The sequence below is a fragment of the Homo sapiens genome, chromosome 22, assembly GCF_000001405.40.
Source record: "Homo sapiens chromosome 22, GRCh38.p14 Primary Assembly".
In the NCBI taxonomy this organism is placed as follows: domain Eukaryota; kingdom Metazoa; phylum Chordata; class Mammalia; order Primates; family Hominidae; genus Homo; species Homo sapiens.
Genome location: NC_000022.11, coordinates 41,901,587 through 41,921,825, shown reverse-complemented (window position 1 = coordinate 41,921,825; position 20,239 = coordinate 41,901,587). Strand labels below are relative to the sequence as shown.

The following is a 20,239-nucleotide window of genomic DNA, read 5'->3' as shown; positions in this document are numbered from 1 at the left end:
TCCTCCTCCCAGGTTCAAGCGATTCTCCTGCCTCAGCCTCCCGAGTAGCTGGGATTACAGGCATGCACTACCACACTCAGCTAATTTTGTACTTTTAGTAGAGATGAGGTTTCTCCATGTTGGCCAGGCTGGTCTCAAACTCCCGACCTCAGGTGATCTGCCCGCCTTGGCCTCCCAAAGTGCTGGGATTACAGGCATGAGCCACCGCGCCCAGCCAGCCTTGACCTTTTTGTTTTGTTTTTTTTTTTGAGACGGAGTCTCGCTCTGTCGCCCAGGTTGGGGTGCAGTGGTGCAATCTCGGCTCACTGCAAACTCTGCCTCCCGGGTTCACGCCATTCTCCTGCCTCAGCCTCCTGAGTAGCTGGGACTACAGGCGCCCGCCACCACGCCTGGCTAATTTTTTTGTATTTTTAGTAGAGACAGGGTTTCACCATATTAGCCAGGATGGTCTCGATCTCCTGACCTCATGATCCGTCCACCTCGGCCTCCCAAAGTGCTGGGATTACAGGCGTGAGCCATCGTGCCCGGCCCAGCCTTGACCTTTTTAAAGGTCCCTGTTGGTCCAAATTTTCTCCTGAAAATCTAGACCATTTCACATCCATGAGGAGGGATTATATGGTCCAGTTTGCAGATAGGAAAAGAGAGGCCCTGTGAGGTAATGGGATCCGGCCCAAGATACAACAGGTGGGTGGTGGAGCTGGGCGAACCCTGGGCTCCTGCGCTTGGCGGCCATGCCTGCCCAGCAGAATGTCATTGGCCCGGACCCCCTCCTTGGGAGCGGAGAACTCGGGGACTGATGCCAGGCCCCACTCCCTGGTTTCATCACTACTCAGATTTTCTCCCCAACTGTTCTCTCATTTTGATAAGAGGGATCCCAGACAGACTCTGGAAGCGCCGTTTTGCGGGTGGGAACTGAAGGGAAAAGGCCTCTCTCTGAGCCTGTGTTTCGGGCCAGCTTTTCCTGAAGGAGGGTCTGATTCCCACCAGGTCCCCAGGGCCCTGGCCGGTGGGGGCAGGCCTGGCTGAAGTCTCGCTTCCTCCTGGGGCTTCCTGCAGGCCCCTTTCACTTCCTGCCTGGTAGCCAGAGGCTGGGGGCTCCAGGAGGGGTTGTGGAGGCCCAGCTGGTGAGGCCAGGGAGGAAGGCCTGACCCCCCACTTTCGTTTCAGCAGGGATGGCTCAACACAGCACTATCCCTGCAAGCTGGTAGCATCTCACTGGGCCTCAACTCTCTGGGCCCCTCTTCCCATCTGCAAAATGGGGCTCTTGAGGCCCACCTAGCTGTCCTTGGAGATTGAAGAGGTCCTGTGGCATGTAGGGACAGAGGGACCCCTGCTAGAGCCAGGGAACGCCCCCAGCAGGGAGGTGTGAGCAGGCCTGGTCCTGCCCTCATGACCCGAGGGTGGGGAGAGAATGGGGGTGCGGTAGAAACGACTGCCCCAAATAGCGGAATAGCGGGGCAGAGTCGGGGAGCAACCGGGAGGAGAGAGATGCCAGAGTTCCCCGCCCCTACGCTTTCCTCCCGGGACTCCGAAGGGCGCTCAGTGGTTGGCGTGGGGGACGGGGGGAGGGACGCTACTGGGGTCCCGGGACCCAGAGGAACCTTGGGCATCTCTCCACTCCCCTAGGCTGCGGATAATCTGGGATCCAGGCCCGAATCCAGCGACTTCGGGGCAAGCGAGTCTCTGCGCGGCTTCCGCCGTCAGCCCCGGCCACCACCGGCCCCGGGAGATTTGGACGTGGGGCGGGGGTAGGGGGTGCTGCCAAGGGGCGGGGTCAAGAAGAGAGGCGGGGCTGAGGGACCCCCAAGCCTCAAGGTGGCCGGAAAGGGGCGGGGCCAGCGGCATGCCTAAGGGGTGGAGTCAAGGCCAAGGGGCGAGGAAAAAGCTTGGGACCGGATAAGGGGCGGGACCAAGGCCAAGGGCGCCTGCTTCGGGCTCCCGACCTCTGCGCCCTCGGGAGTCCGGGTCCTCACGCGCATCCCGAGCCCTGGGGGCCTGGATGCGGCCCACGGCCCCGACTCAAGGGCGAGGCTCAGGGGGGAGGGCGCAAGACGCCTCCGCACAGAACTGTGACCGAGGAGCAGGGGGGCTGCCGGGGAGGGCGCACCTGTCCCCGTGCACGCGCTGTGGCCTCCGTGGAGCTCTGTCCTCTCTTGGTTCCCGCGCTAAGGTCTCGGTGTCCGCTCCGGATTCGCACGTACACTGAGGGCTTTGGAGCCTCCCAGTCCCGCCGCTCCCTGGCGACCTCAGGAGCCCGGGCGCCCCCTCCCTCCCACGGGCAGCTGGAGCCTGAGTCAGAGTTGCCTCGCGGGAGACAAAGACAGCCGTGGGCCCTCCCTCCAGAACCCCTCCTGGTATCGGCATTTGCACCAGCAGGGAGCCCAGAGTCCCCAAGAGCCTCTGCTTCTTGGGTAACTGCATCATTGAGGAAATGGAAGTGAAATTAGCTTAGGAATGAGGCCTTGGAGGCTTGTGGGTGGCATCCGCGGTCACGGTCTTCTCAGCCTGGCTTCAGTGTCTCTGGGGCCCACTGCTTCTCCCTGTAACCCTGCCGAAATGCTGGTAGCCCATCTTGCAGATGACAAAACTGAGGCCTAGAAAGGTTGAATGGCCCTGAAGAGCAGGAATTCCAACCCGGTCAGCCTGGCTCCAAAATAAAGGATAAAGGCTGGGCGCAGTGGCTCGCACCTGTAATCCCAGCACTTTGGGAAGCCAAAGCGGGCCGATAACTTGAAGTCAGGAGTTCGAGACCAGCCCTGCCAACATGGTGAAACCCCCGTCTCTACTAAAAATACAAAAATTAGGCCGGGCCCCGTGGCTCACGCCTGTAATCCCAGAATTTTGGGAGGCCGAGGCGGGCGGATCACCTGAGGTCAGGAGTTCGCGACCCGCCTGATCAATACGGTGAAACCCTGTCTCTACTAAAAATTACAAAAATTAGCCAGGCGTGGTGGCGTGCACCTGTAATCTCAGCAACTCCGGAGGCTGAGGCAGGAGAATCGCTTGAACCTGGGAGGCGGAGGTTGGAGTGAGCCAAGATCGCGCCACTGGACTCCAGCTGGGCGACAGTGTGAGACTCCGTCTCAAAACAAAACAAAACAAAAATTAGCCAGGCATGGTGGCGGGTCCTTATAAATCCCAGCTACTCGGGAGGCTGAGGCAGGAGAATTGGTTGAATCCAGGAGGCAGAGGTTGCAGTGAGCCGAGATCACACCACTGCACTCCAGCCTGGGCAACACAGAGAGACTCCGTTTCATAAATAAATAAATAAAACCTAGAAACTCTGGGCATGTGGGGCTGGAAAGGGGTTCCAGGAAGAGAGGGCAGCCTGCGTGACCAGACAGGGGGCAAATGAGCCTGGGTCAGGTGTTGGCAAGGGCCCTGTCGTGGGGTAGGAGTGCCTCCCGGGTGTGCTGAACTGGCCAGAATGTGGATTCGGGACTCATAGTGCAGGTTCCAGGCCAGACCCTGCCCTTCCTGGCTGTGTGCCAGTCACAGCAAGTCACTTCCTCTCTCTGAGTCTTGAGTTTCTCTCTAGGAAATCCCAAACCTTTCCCAGGGCTCAGCAGAGCTGGCAGACTGGTCACCCACCACCTAAAATGGGGACACTGAGGCCCAGCACAGGCTGTTTGTCATGTCCACACCTCTCAGGGCCCCCAGCCTTCCCCAGCCAGAACTGAGCACCAGGTGAGGGCTGGACATGGAGGAAGGCCGTTCGTGCACAGGAGCATGTATGCTGACAAACACGTGTGCACACACATGCCCACCGTGCAGGGAAGGCCCTCATAGTCATGCTAGCCCCAGACATGCACACTCTTGCTGTCACCCAAACACGCGCAGACACCCGCACACTCGAGCTGCCAGCATTGGGAGCTGGGGGCGGGGCGGGTGCCCTTCAGGAGCAGGGACTCGGCTCCTCTGCCCGCCCCGCGGGGCTTGCTGCAGATGCCAGGGGTTATTTTAAGCCTGGATCAATGGATGAGTTTTGGTGACACAGGCTTAGTGGTAGTGGAGGGGGGCAGGCAGAAGAGATAAGGGGTGGCTGCCCTGGAGCCTTGATGGGGTGAGAGACCCCGGGGTCCAGGGCAAAGGGGTCACTCCTCGGCCGGGCTGCTCTATCTCCAGATCCCCTCACCCGGCACATGGCCAGGCACCTGGGGCAGTGTCAGCTGAATGGGCGATCAGATCCCAGGACTCAGCCAGTCAGGGTCAGCTGGGCTCTGTGTTCACAGCTGCCCTCTCCTGCTCCACTCACTCCCCGCGGCCAGGTGTTCCCATGGAGAGAAGAGGGTATCCAGTGCCTGGCACAGACCCAGTAGTTATGGTTACCTATGGCTGCTGGCTGACCACTGAATCAGATTGAGACGGGGAGGAAGGTGTGTGTGTGGTGGGGGGTGGGGGGTGGTGTTGGGGGTTGGACATCAGTCCCTGGGAGGGGCTGGAATCCACTTCCTTCATTGGACAAATGGCTGTCACTATGTATATGTATGTGAAGGCCTGATGGGGTCAACATGAGGAAAGCACCCAGTGCCAGGACGGTGGGGGCAGGAGGGTGTCCAGGAAGGGGGAGCACTGGGAGACTTGCTCTGACCCCTCACTCTAACTTGGAAGAGGCCCCAGTTCCAAGGGGGCAGAGACAAGCCTCTTTCAACCCAGTGCCCGGCAACGGGTGGGAAAGGTGGGAGAAGAGGCCCCCCTCAGAGCTCCTGCAGCCTCCAGGGCAGTGGGCAGAGGGCGGTGGGGACTTCAATACCAGTGATACGGGTTGTGCCACGGATTCCATTTCTAGGAATGGCCCTAAGGAAAGGAAGCAGGAAAGGACGCTCCAGAAAGTAGAGCTCAGAAGCTCTGAGAAGAATCACAAATGAGAAGGTTTTTTTTTGTTTTTTTTTTTTTGTTTGTTTGTTTGTTTTTTTAAGACGGAGTCTCAATCTGTTTCCCAGGCTGGAGGGCAATGGTGTGATCTCAGCTCACTGCAAACTCTGCCTCCCAGGTTCAAGCGATTCTCTGGCCTCAGCCTTCCGAGTAGCTGGGATTACAGGCATATGCCACCATGCCCAGCTAATTTTTGTATTTTTAGTAGAGGTGGGGTTTCACCATGTTGGTCAGCCTAGTCTCCAACTCCTGACCTTGTGATCCACCTGCCTCAGCCTCCCAAAGTGTTGGGATTACAGGCGTGAGCCACTGCCCCCAGCCAAACGAAAAGTTTAAGGATGGCAAAAAGTAAACCACAAACTAGTTACAATCCAGCATGTAAATGTGGCATATTTTAGTGTGGTTGTCTCTGGACATGGGATTAAAGCAATTTCATTTAATTCCTTTGTTCATCTGTGTTTTTTCTTCTAAACTGGTAATAAGGGGTCCTTTAATGAGGGTGGGTTTTCGGGGCTGGATGGGAAGTGTGTGTACATGTGTGTGCACATGTGTGTGTGTAGGTGGAGGGAGCAGGCTGTCTTTGGCCAGGGCACAAGGAGAAGCTCTGAGTGGGGAGGTCACCTCCTCTTCCTGTCTGAACCCATTAATACCTGAAATTAGTCTGTCAGCCCCTCATGTCAGGCAACAGACTTGATCCTCCTTAAAATGTAAATCCTTCCTCTTCTTCTCCCCCACCTTCTCCACTTTCATAAGCTGGTCCCAGTTGCTGAGAGAAGGACGGATGGAAAGGGGACCAGGAGGGACCCTAGGGAGCCCCAAATGTTTCATCTCACAGAAACTAGGCGCTGGAGTCCTTTCATTCATTTATTCATTCAGCAAATGCCGACAGAGGCCTGAGCTGCACACTGGGTGAATTGCACGCCCAGTCCTTGCCCTCCTGCTGTTTCCGTCTGGACAGAGGGAGGTTCCATATCGACCCCTATCTCCTGGAAGGGGCAGATTATGAGTCTGCCCTCCAGGAAGAGTCTTTGATGTTAAGATGAGATACTGAGGCAGGGAGAAGCCAAGCACCAGGACCTTCTCCAGTTCAACTCAACCCCGAAAACACCACTGGGCCGTGCTGGGACCGGGTCCGGGCTCCTTAGGGCCCCCACACCCTACCCCTCGGTTTGTGAAAGGACCTGCGGGTGGGCGCAGGGCGGAGGTCTTCCTTTTCCAGGCTTTCCTTTTCCAGGGCAGGGGCGAGCCCAGTCCCCCTCTCCTCACACCTGGGGAGGGAGCAGATCGCGGAAGTGCGTCAGCCAAGCCGTGCCCATCGACGCAGGGATGGGGACATCCCTGGACCCCAGCCCAGCGTTCGAGGGGTTCTGGAACTGGGCTCGCGCCGTGGGGTAAATCCTTGGCCCTCTGAAGCGGCGCTGCCAGGGGAAGTCCTTCCCATTTGACAGGTGGGAAAATCGAGGCGCCGAGAGGGGAAGGGGCCCTCCTTATGTTATGATCAGAACGGACAGAGGGGACGGGAAGGAGGTGAGAGGGTGGCCCTGCCCGTCCCGGGGCAATTCCGGGCTGCTTTGACCTCCGCGCCTGTAAGGTACAGGTCCCCGCACCTGTAAGACAGGGACGCTCTAGTCGCGGGCCCTAGAACTGATCCCCTTCGAGCGCCCAGTTCCGATGAATGTTTCGGGGCAGTCTTTGTGGAGGGGGGTTCCCTGTGGGGCCTCCCGGCTCCGCGGGGCCTGCTGCCTCCTCTCGCCCCTCGCGGCAGCCGCGCTCCTCCCCCGGCTCTGCCTCCCTTCCGCCCTCCCTCCTCTCTCCCTCCCCCGCCCGCCCGAGCCCGCGCCGAGCCCGAGCGGGAGCCGGAGCCGGAGCCGGAGCCAGAGCGCGGGCTGTACTGAGAGCGCGGCGGGAAGGTAGCGCAGTCGGGCGGCCCGCGGCCCCGGCGCGGCCTCCGCTAGGGCCAAGACCCGCACACCTGCCGGGCCGGGGAGAAGCCGGGGGCCGCGCGCAGGCGAGGACCCGCCGCCCGGCCCGGGGAAGATCTCAGGACGCGGACCGGGCAGCTCGGGTCCGAGGTGAGCCCGGGCGGAGGACGCGCCCACCGGAGGTGCGGCCTCGGAGCTCCAGACCCAGCCCACTCGGGGCTGGGGTCCCCAGAGGAGGCCGACGGCCGAGGCGGCGTGCGCCGGGAGCCAGCGCGATCCCTGCGGGAGCGGAGGAGCCGAGCCGGAGGGAGCCGCGGCGCCCGGCCATGCACCGGGCGCAGTAGCGGGAGGCGCGGGCCCGATGGCGCGGGCCGGGGCGCGGGGACTGCTCGGCGGCCGCCGTCCTCCCGGCCTCCGGCTCGCGCTCGCGCTTCGGCTCGCGTTGCTGCTGGCGCGGCCGCCGTCGGGCCGCGCGGGAGCCCCCGAGGCGCAGGGTCCCGCGGCGCCCGGCACGACAGCCCCGGAGGGGGGCGACCGCTGCCGCGGCTACTACGACGTGATGGGCCAGTGGGACCCGCCCTTCAACTGCAGCTCCGGAGCCTACAGCTTCTGCTGCGGCACGTGCGGCTACCGCTTCTGCTGCCACGACGGGCCGCGGCGCCTCGACCAGAGCCGCTGTTCCAACTACGACACGCCGGCCTGGGTCCAGACAGGCCGGCCGCCCGCCCGCGCCCGCGACACCGCAGCGCCCCGGGACCCCGGCCGCGAGCGCAGCCATACGGCCGTCTACGCTGTGTGCGGCGTCGCAGCGCTGCTGGTGCTGGCCGGCATCGGGGCGCGCCTGGGACTGGAGAGGGCGCACAGCCCGCGCGCGCGGCGCACAGTGACCAGGTGAGCACGCGCCGCCCAGGGACCCCCGCCTGCTCCTCGGACTGCTCTCCCTGCCCGCTGATCCTTCCCGCCGCTCTCGAAGCGCTGGTTCTCCCAGCAGGCCCCTTCTCTGGGTTTTCCTGTCTCCTTCTCCCCCCGCCGCCCCCCCAACACTTCATCAGGGAGACACCTGACACCGCCCTGACTCCCTTTGACCTTCTGCCCGTGCTGGGCGCCGCACCGCCTTTCCCTGCTCGAGTCTCCTCTGGAGGGCAGGGGGGTGGGGGCGGGCTGGGAGGGGGACAGGTAGCCTTGCACAGAGGGCACCGGGTCACTGTCCAGGGTAAGGGGCGCCGCTGGCCAGGGAGGTGACCGGGCGTCTTGGGCACGGGAAAGGAAGGGGCGCTTGGTTCTCTGGGTGCCCATCTCCTGCTTCTCCCCACTCCTCCCTCCCCTCTTCCACCTCCTGCCTCTCCCCTGCCCCCACAGCTGTGACTCAAGGCTGCCCTTCCCTCCTTGGGTTTCAAAGGCCTCCCCCCACTCACCCCATGCCACAGCTCCCAGGTGAAGGTCAGGGCTCCCTCTGCGTAGAAAGGGGACTCTGGAACACAGTCGTGTGTTGCTGAGGCCAGGACAGGTGCTTGTTGCATTCTGAGCTTGGTGTGAAGTGGGCACTACAGGGTCCAGGTCCCCTTCCTCGGTTGGAACGAGGACTCTAGGACTCTATGTGTCCTGACCCTGGAACTCCCACCCACATGCCACACGTGGCACTCACATGCCCCCAGCAACCCCCATGCCCTGGGGCCTGTGCCCTCCTCATCCACCCGGTCCCAGCACCCTTTGGGCCTGTGGGCTGCTGACACCGAATGTGACAGGCTGGTATTTAAAAGTGACCATAGAGAAGCCTTCATACCCTGGCAGGCCAGATGTGGACACTTCCCCCTCCTGGGCCTCAGAGGCAGGGGGTGAGGGCTTCCTTGGCACTTCAGCACCCCTCGCTCCCGAAACCACGTAGCCCACTTTCTCCCAGGGAGCTCTAAGGGAAGCCCGGGCTGGCACCCTGGCCTCCACCCTCAGCTTCTGCACTGCCTTCAGGAGGTGGAGCCTCCTGGCCTGGCTTCTGGATGCTGCAGGGGTAGGGGCTGGGCTGCCCAAATTTGGGGGTCCCCCATGATGGGTGAGGGTAGCTTGGAAGAGGCCTGGATATGTCTTTGACAGGGGCGGGGAAAAAGGAACTTAGGGCTGCGATGGTGAGGGGTGGCTGCAGCAGCCCAGCTGACATGTTCATCCTGAACTCCCTGCACCTGCTGGGGATGGGGCAGCAGGTTTGGTGATGCCGCAGGAAAGCCATGCCCACCCTTGCTGTGCTGTGTGGTGTAGGCCAGTCCCTTCTCCTTTCTGGGCTTCAGGCTCCCATGGCCCCAACTCCCTTTTCTCTGCTGGGGAGACCTGGAATGGGACGTAGGCTTGTGTGTGGGTGTGTCCTGAGTCCCTGTCCTCCCCTCGAGTCTCACCCTTCATTCTGCTGTGTTGGGGTTGAAGGCCAGGGAAGGCTTCTCAGAGGGCTTGGGCGGGGCATCTGGAAAGAGTTTGTGCAAAGGCCCAGAGGCGTGGTGGTTACTCAGCTGTCAGGGAGACAGGAGCTTGAGGTGCTTGCCCAGAGATGAGGCCACAGAGGTGAGCCTCTGGGGAGAGGGCAGGGCAGGAAGGTCAGCCCAGGCAGGTACTAGGATGGTTTCAGACCCTGCCACCAAACCTGAAGCCAAACCTCGGCCATCCCTGGTGTCCTGCCTCCTGAATGACCTTCACGAATCAGCCATTTGAGGCTCTAGCCCCGGAAGGAGGGTCAGGCTGAGTGGGAGAAAATCATGGGTTCCGGGTTCTGAAGGCAGCTGGGCTGCAGACACTGTCACATCACAGCTGGGTGGGGGCTGGGTGTTGGGTCCAAGGAGGTGGCTGTCCAAGGTCACACAGCCTGTGGGTCCTGGGCTGCCACCAGGGGGTCTCCCAACATCCCCATTCCGTCACCCATCTGTCCTTCATGCCCGTGATGGCAGCTTTATCCCAGGTCCCAGCAGAAGCCGCGGCTGCAGGGGCAGTTAGGCAGGCAGGTAAATAAGGCATCCTGGGCCGGGCGCGGTGGCTCACACCTGTCATCTCAGCACTTTGGGAGGCCGAGACCGGCGGAGTTGGAGACCAGCCTGGCCAACATGGTGAAACCCCGTCTCTACTAAAAATACAAAAATTAGCTAGGTGTGGTGGCAGGCACCTTATAATCCCAGCTACTAGGGAAGCTGAGGCTGGAGAATCACTTGAACCGGGGAGGTGGAGGTTGCAGTGAGCCAAGATTGCGCCATTGCACTCCAGCCTGGACAACAGAGCGAGACTCTGCTTCAAAAGATAAAAAAATTAAAAAAAAGGATTCCTGGAGGAGGCCGCTGATGGGGTCTGAAGAATGAGTAGCAGTTTTTTGGGAGAAGAGGCAGGAAAGCAGAGAAAGCTCGCATTGGGAGGGGAGGCTCACCTGGGGAAGGTCCCTGAGAGTGGGCTCCAGGGAGGGGAGGGGAGGGAAGGGGAGCCTCATTAGAGTTTCCTGACCTGCTCTGGGAAGCAGCTGTCTTGGGGCCACAGGTGAGGCTGGCAGATACTGCCTGGGAGGGGAAACTCGTGCGTGATTTCGAGCACCGGAGAGGACGGCCTGGAGAGGCCGAAAGAACTGCCCAGGGCCACACGGTGAGACGGTGGTGGCCGGGGCTGGCTTTTGATGAGGTGGGAGACAGAGGGCCACCCCTGACTGCTGTCCCCGCAGGGCGCTGACAGAGCTTCTGAAGCAGCCGGGCCCCCAGGAGCCACTGCCTCCCACCCTGGGCCCACCCCTGGGTGGCTGTGTCCAGGTGCAGATGGGGGACGGCCTCCCCCGGGGCTCCCCCCACAACAGCGCAGGTGAGTCGGTGGCGGGCGGGGCTGAGCGGCGGCGGAGCACGCGGAGGGGCGTGAGAGGCCGAGAGGCGGTCCCTCGGCTGGGGCATAGAGGCTTCCCCGGTGGAAATGAGCCGCGGCCTCTGCGGGTGAGGGGCCCGACCGGCCAGCCAGCTCGCCAGGGTGGAAAGGGACCCCCCACGGGTCCTGCGGCCTCGAGTCTGGGGGGCTGTGATGTGTGAGGAAGGTTCCAGATGCAGGATTTGCTGGCCGGGGCTGTGATCTGAGGCTCGGGCTCCAGAGCCTCCCCCTGGGTCTCTCGAGAGGCAGGCAGGCTTGGCAGCCCCCACGCCCCGTCTGGGTTCTGTTCCTCAGACATCCCCCGTCTCGGCGGGAGCAGGTCCCAGGACTCCGCGCCTGGCTCGAGCGTCGCCTCCGGGCGAGCCGTTCATGAGGGTGGCACCCCCCGGGCTGGCTGCCGCCGCCGCTGCGCGTGACTCGGAGCCAGGCCCTGTTCCAGGCGCTGGAGGCTGCGGCGAAGACAGGCTTGGCTCGCAGCCTCGCCCGGAGAACGGTCCCCCAGGTTCTCACCGAACGGCCTCGGGGAGAGGACTACGGAGAGGTGACAGCGAGGGCGGAGTGAACCGGGGCATCGGACCGAGCCGCGTCTCACTCCTCGCTCCAGACAAGAAGCGCCTCAACAACGCGCCCCGGGGGTCGGCCGCCCCGGGGCCCCCGCGCGGCCCGCGGCTGCAGGGCGGCGGCAGCCTGACGCTGCAGCCAGACTACGCCAAGTACGCCACGTTCAAGGCCGCCGCGCTCAAGGCCGCAGGTGAGTGGCGGGTGCGGGCAGCGTCAGGGCACCTGGGCGCACGAGCTCCCGGACTGCGAAGCGCGGGGCCGCAGCTCCAAGCGCCAAATTCCCAGTTCCGCGCGCCCGCCGCTCGGCCAATCGGCTCCCTCGCCCCAGCGGGCCCCGCCCCCGGCCCGCCCCGGCCCGGTCCCCGTCCCAGTCCCCGGCCGGGACCCCTTGTCCAGTCCTGAGCTTGGGTGCTCGGCGCGGCGTCACTCTTCCCTGCCCTGTCCCCGCAGAGGCCGCCCCGCGGGACTTCTGTCAGCGTTTCCCCGCCCTCGAGCCGTCCCCGCGGCAACCCCCGGCGCGGGCTCCGCGACCATCCCCGGACTTGCCTGCGCCGCTGGACGCCTGCCCCTGGGCCCCGCCGGTCTACGCGCCCCCTGCCGCGCCGGGCCCCTATGCCGCCTGGACCTCCAGTCGCCCGGCCCGGCCCGCCCCGCTCAGCCACCCGACGGCTCGGGCCTTCCAGGTACCCCGGCGACCCGGGCACGCGGCCCGGCGCCAGTTCAGTGTGAAGATGCCTGAGACCTTCAACCCGCAGCTCCCCGGCCTTTACGGCAGCGCGGGCCGCGGGTCCCGGTACCTAAGGACCAATAGCAAGACCGAGGTCACCGTGTGAAGCGGGGCCGCGGTGCCCTCGAGGCATGGGCTGGGGTCCTGTCTGCCCGTCGGAGCCTCAGGCCACAGGGAGAGGAGCGCCTGCCGTAAGGCCAGCTCTTCTGTCTGCCTCAACGGCAGTGGTGTCTTGGAGCCTGCAGGCCGCGGGTTCGTCTTGTAAATAAGCCCTTTTATGTGGTTCCTGCCCCTGAGAATAAAGAAGCCCCAGCGTGGCTGCGAGGCACCATTGGTCACTGACTGTACAGATGGCAGTGCAGGCAGAGGGCACGGCGAGTGCAAGGTTGGAGGACTGCTCCAGTGCACCGGCCAGAGCCAGGGGGAAGTGGCTGGAGAGGGGGGCCAGGGTTGAATGTCAGGGTTAATGCCCACCCCCGTGGGAGCCCTGGGAGAGAGGGAACAGTTAGACTTCAGCCATAGAAAGGCCCGGGCACAGGAGAGAGGGCTGTTGGGTCCAAGGCCCAGTGGGGGGTCCATGCCCTGTACTGAAGGTGAGCCCCCTCCAGCCGCCACTCTGCAGCTTGAGTTGGCTGAACCTGGCTGATGCTCACTGACCACTGGCTGTGGGCCAGCCCCTGGCCTGCAGGTCGCTTGGCCAGATTGGCCCCGGGCTACCCCCCTTAATGGGTGTGGGCCGTGTGGACATCTGGTGCTCCGGATGGGGGCGCCTCCTCCCAGGAGCTTCTCTGAAGGAAATGGGGGAAAAGCTGGAGCAGGGTCCCTGGCAGTGTCCCTCCGGGAGGGCTTCCTGCACCTGGCTGTGGTCCAGAGCACTGCTAGCAGTCTGCGTGCATCTTCCACAGAGTTCCTCTCCGCCAGGTAACACTGGGGAGGCTAGGGGTCAGGGCTGTGGCTGGTTGAGGTGTGTGATGTGGGGAGGCTAGGGGCCAGGGCTGTGGCTGGTTGAGGTGTGTGATGTGGGGAGGCTAGGGGCCAGGGCTGTGGCTGGTTGAGGTGTGTGACCTCAGCAAAGCCACCCAGGTGGGTCTGTTTCCCTCCTGAGTACCTGAAGTGTGGTGTACTGTTTTAAGAACAATGGCCACCATTTGTTGGCCTTTCTCAGGAAATCCACAAGCGCCTCAAGTGGGTGTGTCTTTACAGAGGAGGAAATTTGGGTTTTGAAACCTAAGTAGCTTGCCCAAGGTCACCCAGCAGACTCCCAGGTTAGGACTCTCCCGAATTGCTGTGAATCGGCTGGAATGGCAAGCAACAGGCAGTTTGGCTGGGAGGGAGGGTTCTGAGGGTTGGTAGGGAGGGGTCCCTGTTCCCAGGGTATATATAAACAGTCTGGAGCTTTCCTTCTGCTGGTTGGGCTGCCCTGAGGCCCCAGAACCCACCAGGCCCGGTCTCCGCTCCTGCCACAAAGGGTCCACCTCCCTGTCCCTTTAGGCTGTTAAGGAAACCAAGGCCTAGAAGCACCAGGACAGAGCTCTGGGCCCACGGTCCTGCCCCTGTCCCACAGCTGTGCAGAGCTGGAGGAGGGTGGGGGCTGAGGCATGGAGCCTACACAGACTCACAAAGGAATCTGGTTGCTTCTCACCCCACCTCCCACCCCCTGCTGGGCTGTGCCAAGAGTGGGCAATTCCCCCTGCTCATTCTCAGTTCCAAGGGCCCTGGATCTCCATCCCAGTGGAGCCAGGCTGAGGCTGTGGGCAGTGGCCATCCCTGAAAATGATGGAGCTGTGCACGGGACCAGCTGCAATTGGGCCTCACCGGGCTGCTCTGGTCTCAGGGTAGCCTGCTGTGACTACCCTTCAGAGAAGGATGTGGCTCATAGCTGAGGGATTCAGCCACATGCTCAGTCACATCCTGACTCCTCTTGCGACGAGGCCCAGCACTCCCATCCCAGTCTGTGGTCCTGTCCCCTGGTGTGTCTTACGCCAAGCCTGGCCTCACCAGCCACACAAGGCACTCGCTGTAAACTTGCATCCCATCACTCAGTCCTGGCAGACAAGCCTTTGGAGCTGCAGTTCATGGCTGAGCTTAGCTTCCCAATTCTGCACACGTGGAAGTGGAGACTGAGGCCAGGTCCCACCCCAGGTGACCCAGCTGGGAAGCACAGGACCTGGACTTGGATCTGACTTGTGGGCCAGTGAGCCTCCTGGCTCAGAGGATCACTGACTTCAGGGAGGGAGAAACTAAGGAGCAGTTTACCCAGTGGGGGAGAGGGTCAGCACCCCAAATCTGTCAGCCAGCCTGCATTACATCCAGGGAACAAGCTGGAACCTGGATACAGTGACCTCTGACCCCCAAAGTGCCACCCACAGCCCTTTTATCCCAGGCTGGAGGGTGCGCCAGGCACCGGAAGGAAGGTGGACAAGGGAGGCCCATTAGACTGAAGCCAGGGGCCCTCTCAGCAGTTGGGGGGCTGCCCTCAGTCCCTGGCCCATTGCCTGCCAAGTCACGCAGCCCCTTGGCTGGGCACCACAGCAGTCGCACTACAGACCCTCACACACCTCGTGCTGGGTGGTACCAATCTGTGTTTATTGAATATGTCTGGGACACAGTGACTGATTGATTGAACATCAAGAAAGCTATAGGTGTACCCCCCTTTTCAGTGAAAAACCACCCCCTCCCACACCCAAACAATAGTGAGAAAAGGCACAGGACATACACACAACACGCAGGCGGGCAGGGTCCATAAATTACAGTGAGAGTAGGGGAGGGGCAGGAGAGAAAGAAAGCAGGTGGGGTCCAAGCACACCCCAGGGATAACATTCCAGCCTGCATCAAGGTGGCCCTGCTGTGAGCACCCCCCAGTCTGTGCTGGGGCTCCTGCCCACCCTCTGCTCCAACCAGCCTGAGGATGAGGCACAGGGAGGCAGGGCCCATCACTCAGGAGGCCATGGGAGAAACAGTCTCCGGGAGGTGCTGCACCTGGGGACCCAGAAAAGTAGGACTTTTTCTCCTAGGACCCGCATCGAGGCAGGGGACCTCATTCCTAGTGCCCACCATAGGCAACCCTCTGCCCACTCTGAAAAGAGGGGCTTGCCGCTGGGGAGGGATTAGGGGTTGGTCCCTGCCATCCTGGTTTATTTATTTTCAGCTCAAGAATTAATTAGGTTTAAATATATACAGATATGCCTCAACTTACCATGGGGTTACTTCCTGATAAACCCATCATAAATGAAAATATCCTAAGTCACAAATTCATTTAATACCCCAACAGACCAATTGTAAAGTTGAAACATGGTTTAAGTTGAACCACTGTTAAGTTGGGGACAGTCTGTACTGTGGAGGTAGGAGATGGGGTAGGGGGAGGAGGGAACCTAGAAGCCATGCTGAAGGCCCCTGGTCCCCAGTCCCCATGGGTGGCTTCATTTCTCCCAGCCCCCTGGGCCTACCCTGAGCTTGGGCTAACATCCTAGGAGGCGGGGAGTGGGAAGGAACAGGACAATTAAATAAGATACCATTTATTTTTTAAAAAATTAAAAAATAATGCCAACATTATTTCATGCATCCGCAGGCCTGCCCCCTGCCTCCCACCAGCCTCCCAGGGCTGGGCCCCCCTCCTCCCCTGGCTGTCCTGTGTAATAAAGGGAAAAACAATGAGCAGGCTCAGTCAGGCCCAGGGGAGGGAACGCAGACCCAGGGAGAGAATCAAGACGCTACAGCAACTCAGCCTCGCATCATGGCAAACCCAAGCACACTGGTAGAAAACATTCGTATAAAAAGGGGAGGGCATGCTGGGCACAGGCCTGAGGGCAACTGCTCCCTGGTGCTCAGAGACTGCTGTCCCCCAGAGAAAGCCTGATAAAAACTGAGGAAGCAAAAAGGAGAGAGTAGGGTTCAGGAGAGAGAAACTCAGGAAGGCTGGAGGCAGGGGCTTGGCAGCTTGGGAGCTCCCCCTGCTGCTATCAAGTCAGGGCTGCCCAGTTTCTGCCCTGCCACCTATCCTCTCACGCCCACCAGGCCCTGGACCATGGGCATCTAGTGACAGCAGCTTTAAGGGGCTCTGCCCAGGGGTGCACTGGCCTGAGTGGCCCAGAAGCCTCGGCAGGTGACAGCTAAGAAGACAAGGCTCTTCCCCACCACTCTCAGCGGGAAGATGCTGAGGGGGAGAGAGAGAAATCGAGAGAGAGGTGGAGGGGTGGGCTGAGCCTGGTGGTCAGGAGGCGGCAATGGCAGTGCCACCACCCAGCTTAACAATCATCTGCTGGCAGTCGTTGCAGGAGCGCCGGTCGCCCACCTTCTCCAGGGTGCGGGCAGCTTCGGCCAGCAGCACTGCCCGCTGGCCCGGGGAGGAGAGGAAGGAGAGGGGCAGGTGGCGGCAGGCCAGCAGGATGGCGGTGGCCCGCTCTCGCTGGCCGGGCCAGGCATCCACCTCTCCTGTGGGAAGGAGATGTGTGTCACAACCGAGAATCTACCATGAAGTTGGTGCAGTTCCTTGGCGTTACCTGGACTCATTCACTGAACGCTCACATCCATCCTGGGAGGTGGGGTCTGCTGCCCCACCCAATCCACGGAAAAGAAGTGAACTTGTCCAGCCTCTCACGGCCAGCCCGTGGTGGGGCTGAGATGGGCCCACATGACCTGGCTCGAGCTTCTGCTTCTATGCCTGCACCTGTGCTGGGACGCCACCCCAACCCTCCTTCCCTGATCACAGCATGACCCATGACCACCCCAACCCCTGCAACCCACCAAGGGCGGCCTCGGGCTTCTTTCATTCTCAGAGAGGCGAGAGGTGTGCTGGGCACCAATGCCAGATGTGGGAGCTGGGCTGGCCCCTCTTCTCCTCTCTTCCTAGGGCGCAGGGCCTGGCCCAGCCTGTGAGCTGGGGAGGGGTGGACTCACCGTGCTTGGTGCTCTGCGTGGTGCGCCGCCGCAGGCTGTGTTCCAGCAGCTGGTGGGTGCGGGTGGGGCTGGCTCCTGCCATCAGGCGCACGGTGGCTTCATGCAGGAACACCTGGGGAGGTGCCGGGGTGACATCCATCACACCCCTGGTCCCCACCCATCTATGCCCAGGGTAGCTCTCCCTGAGCCATCTCGCCTGCCACCTCATGACATCCCTTCCCACACCACCCTGCCTTGCTCACCCCTGAAAAGCAACCTCTGTTGTCCCGTACTCTGACCCTGAGCCAGGCAGGAAACCTGGCTGAACAGCAGGAGCAGGATGAGAGGAGAGAGAGGCAAAAGGCCTGCTTTTCCCAACTGGTGACAAGAAAGCCCTGGACGCACCTCGTGGGGCTGGTAGACAAGTGCCCTGGGTGAAGCCCCAAGGCCCTGGAGGCTGCCTGCAGTTTGACAAAAGGACAGGTGTGACAGGGACAGAGGGGTGAGGAGGGACAGTTGGGCTGGTACCAGAGAGGTTTGGTATCCTCTTTCCGTATCTTTAGAAAGGAAGAGAGTCTAGAGGTGTGCGGGTAAAGTCTGCAGCGCTTAGGTATGAGCCACTGGTGGGTGAAGGGCAAGGCTGAGGTCTGTCATTTCTTAAAATCTCAAGCTCTTTTTGATGCCTTTATATCTCAGTCTTCAGGGAGGGTCTTCAGTGCTGCCAAGTGGATTCTGGTCCTGGTAGGCAATGGGGAGCCGCTGATGGGCTCTCAGCAGGGAGCAGCAGAATGGAAATGGTATTTAAGAGGAGGCCTTTGGACCAGGCGAGGTGGCTCACACCTGTAATCCCAGCACTTTGGGAGGCCGAGGCAGGAGGACAGCTTGAGGCTAGGGGTTTGAGACCAGCCTGGGCCACATAGCAAGACCCCATCTATTATGAAAAAAAGGCCACTGATGCCAGCCATGCTGTGAGCAGACCAGAGAGCTGACCAGAGTGGGCTCCAGGAGGCAGGGGTGCCGCTCCAGGCCTGGGGTACATGCCCTCTTCTCCACAGTAAGGAATGGCTCTCCGATGATACTGTCTGTTGTGTCTGTCTTGGCTTGCTGCACACAGTGGCCACAGTGCAACCCTGGGTGGGCCCCGCAGCACCTCAGGGTGATGGGTGTGGGGGCTGAATCCCAAGCTCCACGGCAGCAGCCTCGCTCTGAGGCCTTCTTCCAGCCCAGCCCGTGCCCCCTCAATGACACTTGAGTCATCTCACTCAAATTTTTAGAAAAAAATACAGGTACAAATATGTTGAATACATTATATAGCAATACAAATAAACAAAAAAGGAAATAGCTGGAGCCTGGCAAGCCCAGTCATAGAACTTTCCTCCGTGACTTAGTTCAGATCACGTGGCCACTGCCAAGGGGATGTTACCCAGCAGCAGAACCGAAGCCTCTAGCTACTGTGAAAAAGAATGAAAGTCAACGTGGAGCTCGGGACCAGGCCAGGAGCCCTGACTTGCCACCATTGCCCTCAGAGCCCTCCCACCCAGCATGTGCCTGGGGAGGCACAGCTCCCTGCTGGCCCCTGTCTGTGGCAGCAAAGTGTGGCCTGCTCCCTGCTGAGCTCCAGGGCCAGGCATACAGCAGGCACTCAACCAATGTGTGCTGAACACAGGGACACATGGCGCCTAGCCCAGTGTTGGGCACGAGCCAAGCAGGTGCTCGACAGGTCACCAGGCTGACCTCAGAGGGCCAACTCCACAACCACATGCTGGTGCCCATGCTGGGTTCTGGGCTCAGGCCCCACAGGCTCCAATCTGCCCTGCCCCACCAGCCAGCTGGGCCTCACCTTGCGGTATGCTGGGCGGAAGCTGTGTGCCAGCCTGCGCAGGCTGCCCAGGTCCCGTTGGAAGCCCGCCAGTTCAGCGCCTGACGCGTGGTAGGTCTCCCCCACAGCCTGGCTGGCACTGGCCTGTTTTTGCCAGAGCGCTGTCCGTAGCGACAGTAGCAGGTCACAGGTGAGCAGCTGGACCACCTGTGGGGTCAGCCACGAGAGAGGGGAGACAGGTGACTGGCCCATCCCTGAGGCAAGGATCCTAGCACCTACCAGGCCTCTCCCCAGACCAACACTCAGCAGCTCTGGGAGGAAGTGGAGAGCCCCAGAGTCTGGTGAACTCCGCAGGACGTGAGGGAACAGCTCAGGGGAGAACCAGTTCCTTCCATGGCCCCAGGAGGTGGGAGACAAGCCCTCCCCATTCTGCAGGTGAGAAAGCAAGGCTCTGACAGGGACAGCAGCTTGTATAGGGAATACAGCACAGGCAGGTGGCAGGGGCAGAAATAAAACCCTTGTGGGTTGAAGGCGCAGGTTCTTCCACCCCATGGGAGTCCCACCATGGCTGGCTAGGAGGCTGAGATACCCACAAGGTACCAAGGAAAAGCCTGAAGTGGCAGCAGAGCCTGTCGATGGGGCTGGGGGAAGGAGGAGGAGGAGTGGGAGAGGGAGACAGGTGTCTCAGAAGACAGAACCACAGAGTGCCTTAGTGCTTGGGGACTAGGCCTACTGACCCGGCTTTGCCACTTACTAGCTACATGACCCTGGCATAGGACTTAGTCTCTCTGAGCCTCAGTTTCTTCATTCAAAAAAATGTAAATGGCACCATCACAGGGCTGTTGTATCATATGAGAAGGTACTGCATGTGGGCCATGCATACTCTCTGCCTACGACCTATGGGGCTGGGCTGCCCACCCGGCTCGCAGTGGCACACCTGCACGACACCGAGCAGTGAGGAGTCCTTGTTGAGATGGGCCGCAAGCAGCCCTCCGGTCCTGATGAACTCCCTCAGGCTGAGCCTCATCTCACCCAGCCCTGGCTTTCCTCCTTCCCAGGACACTGGGCCTGAGGAAGACCCTGCCCTGTCCCTGCACAAGGCCTTGATCCTTGCCTACACTGTTTTCTGGCTGTTGTGTGCTTCAAGGGGATGTGGAAAAGGATCCCTCTCCTCAAAACCTGGCACTTCTAAGCTGTGCATGCTGCAGAAGCACCTGTGGGCATGGAGGCAGCAGGCCTATGTCTGGATTCTGCCCTCCGAGGGCCATCAGGCTGCATGGCGTTGTCTTCTAGGCTCACTTTCCTACCACAGAGCTGCTACCAAGGAACCCCAGTCCAAAGGGTGGCTGCAAGCCTCTCATTCCCCAAACTGAGCCTGTACTGTTTGGTTCTCTCATGAAGACAAATACGGAAGAGACTAATGGAAAGCCCAAAAGAGAAGGTGAAATGTGGCTCACCATCTGCCTTTGGTCTTGGCAGCCCAGGGCATTTGGGCACCCCCACCAGCTTTTTTTTAAAGATGGAGTCTCGCTCTGTTGCCCAGGCTGGAGTGCAGTGGTGCAATCTCGACTCACTGCAACCTCTACCTCC

General features: G+C 61.1%; 2 protein-coding genes and 1 long non-coding RNA gene across 8 annotated transcripts in view, besides 18 other annotated features; 2 read left to right on the top strand and 1 right to left on the bottom strand.

Moving 5' to 3' along the window:
* Window positions 27–76: a silencer, noted in NCBI's record as "silent region_13812". NCBI's record gives its function as "represses an Ori minimal core promoter by ATAC-STARR-seq in GM12878 lymphoblastoid cells {active_cell/tissue: GM12878}" and the evidence as "EXISTENCE:reporter gene assay evidence [ECO:0000049][PMID:35858748]".
* Window positions 1,087–1,156: an enhancer, noted in NCBI's record as "active region_19141". NCBI's record gives its function as "activates an Ori minimal core promoter by ATAC-STARR-seq in GM12878 lymphoblastoid cells {active_cell/tissue: GM12878}" and the evidence as "EXISTENCE:reporter gene assay evidence [ECO:0000049][PMID:35858748]".
* Window positions 1,237–1,316: an enhancer, noted in NCBI's record as "active region_19140". NCBI's record gives its function as "activates an Ori minimal core promoter by ATAC-STARR-seq in GM12878 lymphoblastoid cells {active_cell/tissue: GM12878}" and the evidence as "EXISTENCE:reporter gene assay evidence [ECO:0000049][PMID:35858748]".
* Window positions 1,757–2,226: a silencer, noted in NCBI's record as "silent region_13811". NCBI's record gives its function as "represses an Ori minimal core promoter by ATAC-STARR-seq in GM12878 lymphoblastoid cells {active_cell/tissue: GM12878}" and the evidence as "EXISTENCE:reporter gene assay evidence [ECO:0000049][PMID:35858748]".
* Window positions 2,269–2,772: an enhancer, noted in NCBI's record as "H3K4me1 hESC enhancer chr22:42315058-42315561 (GRCh37/hg19 assembly coordinates)". NCBI's record gives its function as "activates a minimal SCP1, AML or CMV promoter by ChIP-STARR-seq in primed H9 embryonic stem cells {active_cell/tissue: H9 hESC(primed)}" and the evidence as "EXISTENCE:reporter gene assay evidence [ECO:0000049][PMID:30033119]".
* LOC124905125 (uncharacterized) lies at window positions 3,164–5,315 on the top strand. Its single transcript, XR_007068113.1, has 2 exons — window positions 3,164–4,376; window positions 4,790–5,315. It is a non-coding gene; the product is annotated as an uncharacterized LOC124905125 (long non-coding RNA).
* Window positions 3,887–3,976: an enhancer, noted in NCBI's record as "active region_19139". NCBI's record gives its function as "activates an Ori minimal core promoter by ATAC-STARR-seq in GM12878 lymphoblastoid cells {active_cell/tissue: GM12878}" and the evidence as "EXISTENCE:reporter gene assay evidence [ECO:0000049][PMID:35858748]".
* Window positions 3,987–4,146: an enhancer, noted in NCBI's record as "active region_19138". NCBI's record gives its function as "activates an Ori minimal core promoter by ATAC-STARR-seq in GM12878 lymphoblastoid cells {active_cell/tissue: GM12878}" and the evidence as "EXISTENCE:reporter gene assay evidence [ECO:0000049][PMID:35858748]".
* Window positions 4,377–4,436: a silencer, noted in NCBI's record as "silent region_13810". NCBI's record gives its function as "represses an Ori minimal core promoter by ATAC-STARR-seq in GM12878 lymphoblastoid cells {active_cell/tissue: GM12878}" and the evidence as "EXISTENCE:reporter gene assay evidence [ECO:0000049][PMID:35858748]".
* Window positions 6,526–7,451: an enhancer, noted in NCBI's record as "H3K27ac-H3K4me1 hESC enhancer chr22:42310379-42311304 (GRCh37/hg19 assembly coordinates)". NCBI's record gives its function as "activates a minimal SCP1, AML or CMV promoter by ChIP-STARR-seq in primed H9 embryonic stem cells {active_cell/tissue: H9 hESC(primed)}" and the evidence as "EXISTENCE:reporter gene assay evidence [ECO:0000049][PMID:30033119]".
* Window positions 6,634–6,793: a silencer, noted in NCBI's record as "silent region_13809". NCBI's record gives its function as "represses an Ori minimal core promoter by ATAC-STARR-seq in GM12878 lymphoblastoid cells {active_cell/tissue: GM12878}" and the evidence as "EXISTENCE:reporter gene assay evidence [ECO:0000049][PMID:35858748]".
* Window positions 6,752–12,283, top strand: SHISA8 (shisa family member 8). 4 transcript variants are annotated; one of them, NM_001207020.3, is made up of 4 exons: window positions 6,752–7,688; window positions 10,477–10,610; window positions 11,272–11,418; window positions 11,679–12,283. In NM_001207020.3, exons 1-4 carry the CDS (start codon window positions 7,159–7,161, stop codon window positions 12,059–12,061), a joined length of 1,194 nt encoding a protein of 397 aa, NP_001193949.1. In that variant the 5' UTR covers window positions 6,752–7,158; the 3' UTR covers window positions 12,062–12,283. The 4 variants fall into 4 exon arrangements, with proteins under 4 accessions (NP_001193949.1, XP_006724319.1, NP_001340368.1 ...); XM_006724256.5 differs by having other exon boundaries at window positions 11,107–11,418; NM_001353439.2 differs by having other exon boundaries at window positions 11,095–11,418.
* Window positions 6,814–6,893: a silencer, noted in NCBI's record as "silent region_13808". NCBI's record gives its function as "represses an Ori minimal core promoter by ATAC-STARR-seq in GM12878 lymphoblastoid cells {active_cell/tissue: GM12878}" and the evidence as "EXISTENCE:reporter gene assay evidence [ECO:0000049][PMID:35858748]".
* Window positions 6,964–7,033: a silencer, noted in NCBI's record as "silent region_13807". NCBI's record gives its function as "represses an Ori minimal core promoter by ATAC-STARR-seq in GM12878 lymphoblastoid cells {active_cell/tissue: GM12878}" and the evidence as "EXISTENCE:reporter gene assay evidence [ECO:0000049][PMID:35858748]".
* Window positions 7,074–7,153: a silencer, noted in NCBI's record as "silent region_13806". NCBI's record gives its function as "represses an Ori minimal core promoter by ATAC-STARR-seq in GM12878 lymphoblastoid cells {active_cell/tissue: GM12878}" and the evidence as "EXISTENCE:reporter gene assay evidence [ECO:0000049][PMID:35858748]".
* Window positions 7,294–7,373: a silencer, noted in NCBI's record as "silent region_13805". NCBI's record gives its function as "represses an Ori minimal core promoter by ATAC-STARR-seq in GM12878 lymphoblastoid cells {active_cell/tissue: GM12878}" and the evidence as "EXISTENCE:reporter gene assay evidence [ECO:0000049][PMID:35858748]".
* Window positions 7,444–7,553: a silencer, noted in NCBI's record as "silent region_13804". NCBI's record gives its function as "represses an Ori minimal core promoter by ATAC-STARR-seq in GM12878 lymphoblastoid cells {active_cell/tissue: GM12878}" and the evidence as "EXISTENCE:reporter gene assay evidence [ECO:0000049][PMID:35858748]".
* Window positions 10,554–10,643: a silencer, noted in NCBI's record as "silent region_13803". NCBI's record gives its function as "represses an Ori minimal core promoter by ATAC-STARR-seq in GM12878 lymphoblastoid cells {active_cell/tissue: GM12878}" and the evidence as "EXISTENCE:reporter gene assay evidence [ECO:0000049][PMID:35858748]".
* Window positions 11,674–11,723: a silencer, noted in NCBI's record as "silent region_13802". NCBI's record gives its function as "represses an Ori minimal core promoter by ATAC-STARR-seq in GM12878 lymphoblastoid cells {active_cell/tissue: GM12878}" and the evidence as "EXISTENCE:reporter gene assay evidence [ECO:0000049][PMID:35858748]".
* Window positions 13,536–14,203: an enhancer, noted in NCBI's record as "H3K4me1 hESC enhancer chr22:42303627-42304294 (GRCh37/hg19 assembly coordinates)". NCBI's record gives its function as "activates a minimal SCP1, AML or CMV promoter by ChIP-STARR-seq in naive H9 embryonic stem cells {active_cell/tissue: H9 hESC(naive)}" and the evidence as "EXISTENCE:reporter gene assay evidence [ECO:0000049][PMID:30033119]".
* The window catches only part of SREBF2 (sterol regulatory element binding transcription factor 2), a 74,201-nt gene continuing 68,482 nt past the window's right edge, over window positions 14,521–20,239 (bottom strand). For all 3 annotated transcript variants that reach the window (NR_103834.2, NM_004599.4, XM_011530347.3), the window contains 3 exons: window positions 18,671–18,856; window positions 16,852–16,963; window positions 14,521–16,386 (listed from right to left, as the gene is read on the bottom strand). Coding sequence is in view for 2 of the 3 variants with exons in the window: in NM_004599.4 (NP_004590.2) it covers window positions 16,166–16,386; window positions 16,852–16,963; window positions 18,671–18,856 (519 nt within the window). In the remaining variant the exon portion in view is untranslated. The remainder of the gene's footprint in view (window positions 16,387–16,851; window positions 16,964–18,670; window positions 18,857–20,239) is intronic.

Bases quoted from the DNA above. Each gene is read 5' to 3' on its own strand.
- SHISA8 (NM_001353438.2), top strand. From the start codon at position 7,159: ATGGCGCGGGCCGGGGCGCGGGGACTGCTCGGCGGCCGCCGTCCTCCC. The intron at 10,611-10,986 runs GTGAGTCGGTGG...CGGCGGGAGCAG, and splicing joins CTCCCCCCACAACAGCGCAG to GTCCCAGGACTCCGCGCCTG. The intron at 11,419-11,678 runs GTGAGTGGCGGG...CTGTCCCCGCAG, and splicing joins CGCCGCGCTCAAGGCCGCAG to AGGCCGCCCCGCGGGACTTC.